This window comes from Homo sapiens, chromosome 12 (assembly GCF_000001405.40).
Source record: "Homo sapiens chromosome 12, GRCh38.p14 Primary Assembly".
Taxonomy (NCBI): Eukaryota; Metazoa; Chordata; class Mammalia; order Primates; family Hominidae; genus Homo; species Homo sapiens.
Window position 1 is genome coordinate 85872970 of NC_000012.12, and position 10689 is coordinate 85883658.

The window sequence follows — 10689 nt, forward strand, 5'->3', positions numbered from 1 at the left end:
TGTATAATATAAATCAATTATCTATAGGAACCAATCCTATTTTTTCTCAACTGTTACTACATGATTGATTTATTTAAAAATTAAACAAGACTCAGACAACTTTACATTCAAATATTCACATCTCTAACAGCACTGACTTGTCAAATTACCCCATGTATCTTGAAATGCTTACTACAAGAAGAAAGTTTTACTCTAAAAGGCATTTTGAACAATTTTCTTTTGAGAACTCAGACAAAGAATGGGTATCAGTGTAACTCATGAAATACATGAAGACTATCATAGAAAAGTGACTTTGGTGAATGGTGGTTATTTAGGATTGTCTCCTTTCCAAAAGTACAATCTCTTTTTTTATGGTGAAAAGAGTATTATAACAGGGAAAGAAAGCCGATGCAATAGTAAAAACTGTTGAGAAGGGAATTATACAAAGAGTGAGACATGGCATCAAGAATGAATTCAAAAAGAGCAGAAAAATATAGGCATAAAAAGAGATAATGTACAGAAAAAAAGTCAGTGATACAACAACACAAATTTTTACCTGCTAGAATGTAAGTAATTTAGAGCTGGATTTTATAAACATGAAATTGTTTTTCTAATACATTCAACCAAAAGTCAGCACACATAGTTCAGTCATCTCTCATTACTTACAATAAAATATTTTCTATTTGTTAGGAAATAATATCTTATTCCCTGGATCTATTATTTCTTTTTATTGATTTTCTTTCTATTCTCTAAACTTAATTGCTTAATTTTTATAACTGATTCTCTGTCTCTATTCCATCTTATTCCAGCATGGATTATTTAAAACCTGTATTAGTTTTGGAACCACTAAACATTTGCTCAGAAGTTTGAATTACCAGAGAAGCACCCTAACTCTTCAAGAACTTCCAAGCCTAAGGAATCACTGATTTCATGCATTCATCCTGGAGATTTTCCTTAAAAATTAGAAATAACAGATCTCATGTTTCACAAAATCAAAATGACAACTTTTGGAGTGGGGGAATGAGAAGTGGGAAAAGGATGATACTGGGGGTTCTTTGTCAGTATGCTGTATGTATGCTGTATGTCAGTGCAGTTGAATGACTCCTTCTGTGCGTCAGAAATCCAAAGCAGCAGCAGCAGCAATTAGGGAAGATCGTCACTTTCACTCAAGGTTCAGAAATGGGGGAGGAGAGCAGGGGGGACAAAGGAAAAGGGGAGGAGAAAGCAGGGCAAAGAGGGGAGGGATGGAGGTGAAGATAGGGCACATCCTGCAAAGATAATGTCTGTACAATCAATGACATCATCCTCCTGCTTATATATATAGGGGAATGGCCAGAGCACCTCTCATAGTTCACTCACTTTCAAAGCCAGCTGAAGGAAAGAGGAAGTGCTAGAGAGAGCCCCCTTCAGTGTGCTTCTGACTTTTACGGACTTGGCTTGTTAGAAGGCTGAAAGATGATGGCAGGAATGAAAATCCAGCTTGTATGCATGCTACTCCTGGCTTTCAGCTCCTGGAGTCTGTGCTCAGGTAAGCAAAACAGAATTTCACAACTCCCTGAAGTGATTTCTTTTTTCTCTTTTGCAGTGTGTTGCTACTTATGTTAATGTATCTGGGGAGAAGAGTTGCTCCCTTTTATTCAGGATTTACCTTTTAGTGACAGAAACTGAGTATCTCTTTCTCTGCCTTTATGATTACTGAGAGATGTATTTTCTCTTTTAAAATCTGCAAAGCAATAAAAGGGATTTCAATGAAACACTGCACGACCTCCTTTGGAATTCAACAACTAGAGGGAAAAAAACCCTACAAAACTTTCAATTAGGCTGATCATTATCTAATGAGAAATACAGAGGCAGTGGCTGTCAACCTGCAAACCCATCATTAAATCCCATTCCATTCAAAATGTTTTACTCTCATCCTCATTCATTCTCTTAGGAAGCGGTGGCCCTCACGCCCTTGTAATAGTCCCCGTATTATTTTCTTGTTTGTGTTAAGATAACAAATAAAGTGAAAATTGATACTTAGTGAAAAATGAAGCATTATTTGTAGAAAATTATTTCTAGAAAAATACAAAAATATTCCAGATCCTTTTTGAGAACAGAATTTGCATAGTCTAATAAGTGTGCTATTAATATAACTGTTTGGCATTTTTTCCATGCCATTTAAGTTAATACAAAATACAATTGGAAAATTGGTATTCTTATATTGATGGAAATTATTTGACTTTAGAGTGTTTTGCATGTGGTTTGAAAGAAGTTATATAGTCCTAAGTATCTACGAATAACTCACTTTGAAAATAAGACTTAAATTGAAAGGTATAACATGAAATATTACAACCATTGCAAAAGGCTCTACTTAATATTTAAGAAATATTACAATGAACACTTCAAAGGGAAAAGAACACATTAGGAAGCAAATGCAGCAAAAATAATTTAACCTGTTCTGTGCTTTTATGTATCATAAATATGACATGGAAATGTTTAACTCAAACTCATGCTATCATTTGATTTAAATTATGAAATTAAAATCTAAGAAGATATAAATGTGATTTATACAAAATTTTAAATTTATTTTAATCATCAGAACATAACTTTCAGCTTCTACTTTTTAAATCTTATGAGAAAAAACAAACTTTTCTATAATTATGATTTTATCTGAAAGTTATATGAGATTAAAGATTCACATACTTCTGGAAGAAAAACTGGGTTATTGATTAAGCACTGTGTTTATTAACTTGAAACTACTTGTTGTAATAATGCAATAGTTATAAGGATTTTGGTATACATTGTTCATAAATTCCTAAAACAGATTATGTCTCTAACAAATAGTGAGAAAAGATCTCTTGTATAATTTAGGTTCTAGGTAAAATTAAGCCAATGGGTTCTCCAATTGTGGCATTTCTTTTTACTGAGTGTGTAGTACAAGGAAGATAGAGTCATTTTTAACTTTATTTTTATTATTGTATAGTATTTTCCAAATTTTCCTTCTCTGTAAAATATTCATTAACAGAAACTTGGATAGAGTTTTTTAAAAATCCAGAGATCCATTTTCAATGCTGTTGTACATGTGTTGTTGAACAGCTCCACTTTTGCTTTAAACAATTTCCTTAAATGCCTATGAAAAAATTGAGGATACATAATTTTGAATTCTCTTAAAGTACAATACAATTCTTTCAACGTGTGTTTTGTAAAAAACATCTCAAGTTAAGTAAACCTCAGTATCTTTATTATTCTAAAATTATCAGTAAGCAATTCCCTTTGGTTTTGTCTTGAAAAAGTCTCTTGTATAGTCTTCATTATGTTGTGTTTTTAAATGTTAATATGCATATTTTCTATATATGTAAACTGTGGCTGGTAAGAAATAAGCTACTCTAGCATATTTGGTAAAATATGTGTTATACAATGTAATCACATTTTTAAAGCCTGAAATTCAAAGATTAAACAACTCCCAGTGATCAATAGCTGTCTGAAAAATAATCATATGCTTATTTTCTTAGAAGTGCTTCTACTATTTTAGCTTCCTATTATGCTAAAGTATAACTATAATTTGTTTTTTAGGATTACTATTTTTAAGAAAATACATAAGAAAGACACTAACCTCTAAGATTTTTTTTTAGATTAACCTAAAATCTGTAGATTATGATATAATTATATGATATGTAATTATAGTAAACCTGATTTTGATTTTACTCAGATTCAGAAGAGGAAATGAAAGCATTAGAAGCAGATTTCTTGACCAATATGCATACATCAAAGGTAACTTTTTCTTTTCTTTAACCCTGAGTTGAAGAACATATGAACTTTCATTATAAACATGGTATCCTTTTCCCATAGTAATAACTTCTCATCAAGATTGAAAAGTTCCTTGAGAGGCATTTCCTTTTTGAAAAAAAAAATTTCTTTTAGTTAAAAGAAGTTAAAGGTGTTGATATGACAGGCAAAGAAATTATAATTCTATCAATCAGCATGTTGCAATTTTAATTAATTGCCACACATATTTACTTGCCTGTAAATGTTTTTAAAGGAACTTGCTTCCATGCCTTTTACATTGGGTATGATGAAAGGTATATTGGTCTCAAGTTAAATGAAAACAAAGTGAGCTCTTTGCCTTTTTTATTATATTGGGGGAAATAAAAAGGTGTTCCTAAATTAGAAATAAAAGTTCATGACAACCTGCAAAAGAAATGTAGTATAGAGGGGATAGCAATGGACTGGTAAGCAGGAGCATTGAGATCTAATCCTGAAACAGTGACTTATTAAATATTTTATCTTTAGCAAGTGGATTAGTTCACCTTGCTTACCTGTGTTTCCTTGTTTTTAAATGCAGGGATTGCAGTTCGTAATCTTCTAGACATTTACCGTTCTACAATGTATTTAGGAATTACTAAACTGTACTCTTCATTGTATGTCTGGATTTAAATTCTCCCTATAACAAACATGTTATTTTTACATGTTCTTTTTTTTTTTTTTTTTAATTGAGCCAAATACAACTTTGTATCCTGGGCCCTATTACTCCTCTATTGGGGTCTTGAAAGCCAGTTTTTAAAATTCCAATCTGTACCTAGGAATACGTTCTGGGGTACATGGGCAGGATGTGCAGGTTTGTTAGATAGGCAAACATATGCCTTGGTGGTTTTCTGCACCTATCAACCCATCACCTAGGTATTAAGCCTAGCATGCATTAGCCCTTCCTCCTCCACTCCACCCTCTGACAGGCCCCGGTGTGGGTTGTTCCCCTTCCTGTGCCCATGTGTTCTCATTGTTTAGTACTCAATCAGAATACCAATGGCTACAACCTCTTCAGTTCAAAAATAGACAACTGAAGTTAATAGTCCGTGTTAGAAAATGGGATAAGTTAGGTGTCTTGGTGTCTTGGTATAGGTTTACCTAATTCCCAGATGCAAGTTAATACATGAAGGTTCTATATAATCTGTGATGCTACCCATAACAATTATTAATGTGTGGAATGCATTACTAGCCTCATACTTTGTAATTGTCCACATTTAATAATACCATCTTTGTCACTGCTCCATTACATGTTAAGCTGAAATGTAATAGAGACAGAATAATTTTTTATTTTTAATTTTTCATCTGTGATATATATATCATTTATATATTTCTGCCATCATTTTAATTTCCTTGCTTTCTTACTTTGCTCTGTGTGTACACACATAAGTGCATGTATATGTGAATATAACTATTGCATTTTATTAAACAGAAGTTATGAGATATTGGCAGTATACAACTTTGTGAACTGATGTTACTAAATAAATAACACTATATTTATTAGACTGGAGTAGCAATTAGACCCTAAATGTGATGGTTTAGCACACTAGGAATTCATTTCTTGCTCATGTAACACAAGTTTTAATTGCAGGGGTTTTTTTAATATATTTCAGATTAGTAAAGCACATGTTCCCTCTTGGAAGATGACTCTGCTAAATGTTTGCAGTCTTGTAAATAATTTGAACAGCCCAGCTGAGGAAACAGGAGAAGTTCATGAAGAGGAGCTTGTTGCAAGAAGGAAACTTCCTACTGCTTTAGATGGCTTTAGCTTGGAAGCAATGTTGACAATATACCAGCTCCACAAAATCTGTCACAGCAGGGCTTTTCAACACTGGGAGGTATAGCAATAACAAAATATTAATATGATTATAGTTACACTAGTTAGCTCTCATTTATATTAATTTCTTAAATTCCCAATCATAATCATAACAAGAAGAGTTACAAGTATTGAAGAAGAACAAGCCATGTTTTGAAGTCAACATTGCTTCAGATCTTCAAAGTGTCCTTCAAATATTTGAAACTCAGCAAAATATGTTTTTCTTCAATATTAAAAAGAGGATATATCTTAAGGCAGATTTGATCCACATGTTTTTATTATGCTTAAGTGGATGGCATGTTTAGACAATTTTTGTTGTTGTAGGTGGTGGCATGTCTAACAAATTTAAGCAACTCAAAATGTTGTCTTAGAAACACAAAGTCATATGTAGTGATCTATAAACAAACACAGAATATAAAGTTTCCAAGTAAAACTGGAATAAAACATAAATATTTGTATTTAAATATATTAGGCAAATAAAAATATATTTTTATGTACATAAAATATATTTTTATGTATATTTTAATGTACATAAAATATATTTTTATGTATATTTTATGTACGTAAAATATATTTTTATGTATATTTTATGTACGTAAAATATATTTTTATGTATATTTTATGTACGTAAAATATATTTTTATGTATATTTTATGTACGTAAAATATATTATATATATATTTTATGTATGTAAAATATATTATACATAATTTTATGTATATTTTATGTATATACCATATATTTTATGTATATTTTATGTATATAAAATATATTTAATGTATATTTTATGTATATTTTATGTATATAAAACATATTTTATGTATATAAAATATATTTTTATGTATATTTTATGTATATAAAATATATTTTTATGTATATTTTATGTATATAAAATATATTTTATGTATATTTTATGTATATTTTATGTATATTTTATGTATATTTTATGTATATAAAATATATTTTTTGTATATTTTATGTATATAAAATATATTTTTTGTATATTTTATGTATATAAAATATATTTTTTGTATATTTTATGTATATTTTATGTATATAAAATATATTTTTTGTATATTTTATGTATATTTTATGTATATAAAATATATTTTTTGTATATTTTATGTATATAAAATATATTTTTTGTATATTTTATGTATATAAAATATATTTTTTGTATATTTTATGTATATAAAATATATTTTTTGTATATTTTTGTATATAAAATATATTTTTTGTATATTTTTGTATATAAAATATATTTTTATGTATATTTTATGTATATAAAATATATTTTTATGTATATTTACATATATTTAAAATATATATAAATAAAATATATAAAAATATATTTTATGTATATAAAAATATAGAATAAGGATATATTAGGTTAGTGCAAAAGTAATTGCAGTTTTTACCATCAAAAGTAATGGCAAGAACCGTAATTACTTTCGCACCAACCTAATATATCCCTATTATTCCAGTTTTATCTGGAACCTTTTGTATTTGAATATATTAGGAAAATAAAAATATTTTTTAATTTATATAAAGGTATATATAGTAAGGATATATATCCCCATCATTTCAGTTTATTTGGAAACCTTTCGGTTCTGTGTTTGTTTATAAATACACACAAAACTTAGTGTGTAATAATGTACTTGCAAAATGCTTTACAATTTATTGTCTTCAATGATATATTTTGCTCTGAAAGATAAATTACAGCTTTGGAAAGATATAGAACAATGTCAGGATAAAGAAGAGAAGGGGGAAGAAAAATAAATTCTTTAACAAAATCAAAACAAATTTTTAAAAATTTTCGACAAGGGAAACATTTCTTTCAAATTAACCTCTAAGAGAAACTTGGTCAATATTTTATATTCTGGATTTACACTAACATTGGGGATCTGAGGGTGTCTTCCCTGCTAATTTAACAAACTTGCGATTGACTACCAAAGAGCTACCCTGTGGATAAGAAGAAGTGCAGGCAGAATTTCTAGTGTTTATTATAACTGGTAAGCAAAAAGATAATTTCTAAACAAAAAACTGAAAAGACCAGTTTTTAATTTACTATTGATTATTTAATTAAATTCCTGGTAAATTGTTTAGTATTTAAAATATGTTTTGGCCAGGCACGGTGGCTCACGCCTGTAATCCCAGCACTTTGGGAGGCCGAGACGGGCGGATCACGAGGTCAAGAGATGGAGACCATCCCGGCTAACACGGTGAAACCCCGTCTCTACTAAAAATACAAAAAATTAGCCGGGCGTAGTGGCCGGCGCCTGTAGTCCCAGCTACTGGGGAGGCTGAGGCAGGAGAATGGCCTGAACCCGAGAGGTGGAGCTTGCAGTGAGCTGAGATCACGGCACTGCACTCCAGCCTGGGCGACAGAGCGAGACTCCATCTCGAGCAAACAAACAAAAAGTTTAAGGTCAAAGAAACTTGAAAAATACATATTTTGATATAGGAAGATGTCCATTATATGTTATTTATCCAAAAAAACCTCAGTAAACTATTATGTAGACCAATCAAGTGCAAATAAGATTAAAACTTTTCCCTATTTTAAATGTTATTGAGTGATTTAAAATAAAATGATAATTTCTGAGCATAGTACAAGTAATTACAGACTATGCACAAAAAAACTAAAGATTAAGAAACTAGATTGTCTGACAGTAGCTGTTTTTTCTCCTCTGAAATTGAATAGCTGTGAGTTGAAATAAAATACTTGGTTGTAAGATTTTATTCATATGCATTGCAATTTAAAACTTAGTCCCCTATCAGTATTTGTTATAGTGACCCCTCAAATTAGAAGACAACCAAAAATACAAAGAAAATTTTTATCTTTAACATATTTTTAAAGTTTCTGTAAATTGTATATTAAACTCTGGACAGATTTCTTAAATGGTAACTGAAATTTTTGAGTCAGAGCCATATTCTTAGAAAAAAAATTATGCTTAATGTTAGAATGGGGCATACTCCTGCCTCATGATTTTAGGCAAGATTCTACATGGTGCTTAACTCCCTTAAGTTATTGAATCTGAGCTTGCTTTAGTGACTAAGCACCAGCATCTAAAGAGATCGTTATCATTTAAACAGAGCTTTCCCATATGTTGATTTCTACAACTGACGAAGTTGGATAAAGCAACTTTCATCCCTCTATTGAGAATTAGATCCTTGGAATGGTTTTCATGTCAAATCAGTAACTGACTTAATTGAATATAACATTTTGTTACCTTTGTGGCCAAACTTGGTTTACCAGATCAAAAACTATATTTATTGTAATATATTATATATTTCATCCTTTTGGTGTTTCCATCATAAATTGAAGCCTGAAAAGTACTCAAAGGTCTATTTGATGCTTTTCTTCAAAGGGCTGGATTAGTGTACGGCCTTGAAATATATAGTTAGTAAAGTTTATAGAAATTTTTTAAAAGAGCTAGCCTGGTGAACTAGGAAGAATACTGAACTGAGTCAGAATTACCATGTTCTTATACTATTTCAGCCACTGAATGGCCGTCTCTCCTTTGAAAAAACAATTTCTTTGAACTTCATGTATCTCGTATCTCACCTACATATGTCTTGCTGTCTTAACAGCAAATGAGATAGAATGTAGAAAAATGCTCTGAAACAAAAGAGTTTATTCATGTAAGTTTCACTTATTTTATCTCTATCTTGCAGTTAATCCAGGAAGATATTCTTGATACTGGAAATGACAAAAATGGAAAGGAAGAAGTCATAAAGAGAAAAATTCCTTATATTCTGAAACGGCAGCTGTATGAGAATAAACCCAGAAGACCCTACATACTCAAAAGAGATTCTTACTATTACTGAGAGAATAAATCATTTATTTACATGTGATTGTGATTCATCATCCCTTAATTAAATATCAAATTATATTTGTGTGAAAATGTGACAAACACACTTATCTGTCTCTTCTACAATTGTGGTTTATTGAATGTGATTTTTCTGCACTAATATAAATTAGACTAAGTGTTTTCAAATAAATCTAAATCTTCAGCATGATGTGTTGTGTATAATTGGAGTAGATATTAATTAAGTCACCTGTATAATGTTTTGTAATTTTGCAAAACATATCTTGAGTTGTTTAAACAGTCAAAATGTTTGATATTTTATACCAGCTTATGAGCTCAAAGTACTACAGCAAAGCCTAGCCTGCATATCATTCACCCAAAACAAAGTAATAGCGCCTCTTTTATTATTTTGACTGAATGTTTTATGGAATTGAAAGAAACATACGTTCTTTTCAAGACTTCCTCATGAATCTCTCAATTATAGGAAAAGTTATTGTGATAAAATAGGAACAGCTGAAAGATTGATTAATGAACTATTGTTAATTCTTCCTATTTTAATGAATGACATTGAACTGAATTTTTTGTCTGTTAAATGAACTTGATAGCTAATAAAAAGACAACTAGCCATCAAAATCATATGTTTCTCTACAGATTTAGTTCTTTATAGAGGTACTTTTTATATAATTTTTCCCCTTTTGCATTTTGATCTAGTAAATAATAGTTTTACTTTTAACTTCACTGAGATATTTGTGTGACTAACATTTTTCTCAATTGGGAGGACATATTTGAGGCAAAAGCTATGCTTGAAATAACACCTTTAAATTTTCTTTAAGATCACACATACGGTGTCTGAAGCCCTCAAAGCCTTTGCAAGTCATCATTAGTAGTGACTTTCTTGACTCTTTCTTTTATAGTGGTCTAGGAAGTCCTCTCCTCACAAGGCTGCAACTTATCCCACAGTCATCTATGCAGGATAAATCAGATCTTGAGTTGTTCTAGTATTAAGAAGCCTTTACAACTCCATATCCCTTTGAGAATATTGTCCCTCCCTGAGGATTAATATTACTCTTGAAAGAAGTTAAATCTATAGATCTCTGAGATTTTCTTGTAAAATCACAACTTCTCATTACTACTACCCCACCATCTCTTACCATCCCATTAGTCTCATAATTGAAAGTGCCCAAAGTCCTGCTTATAAGAAGGAAGCTATTTCATAATGATTAAAAGTGTCTTCTCTGCAGCTAGAATGCCTAGATTCAGCTCCATTACGCACTAAGCAGTATTGGACAACTTACTTAGCCT

The 10689-nt window shown here is 30.4% G+C and overlaps 1 protein-coding gene across 1 annotated transcript; it reads left to right on the top strand.

Annotated features, from left to right (window-relative positions):
• Positions 1326-10023, top strand: NTS (neurotensin). Its single transcript, NM_006183.5, has 4 exons — positions 1326-1507; positions 3671-3732; positions 5376-5600; positions 9254-10023. The coding sequence occupies exons 1-4, from the start codon at positions 1435-1437 to the stop codon at positions 9404-9406; spliced, it is 513 nt and encodes a 170-aa protein (NP_006174.1). The 5' UTR covers positions 1326-1434; the 3' UTR covers positions 9407-10023.

Excerpts from the sequence above, each read along its gene's own strand:
- NTS (NM_006183.5), top strand. The coding sequence starts at position 1,435 with ATGATGGCAGGAATGAAAATCCAGCTTGTATGCATGCTACTCCTGGCT. Across the intron at positions 1,508-3,670 it reads CTCCTGGAGTCTGTGCTCAG|ATTCAGAAGAGGAAATGAAA; the intron begins GTAAGCAAAACA and ends GATTTTACTCAG. Across the intron at positions 5,601-9,253 it reads GGGCTTTTCAACACTGGGAG|TTAATCCAGGAAGATATTCT; the intron begins GTATAGCAATAA and ends TCTATCTTGCAG.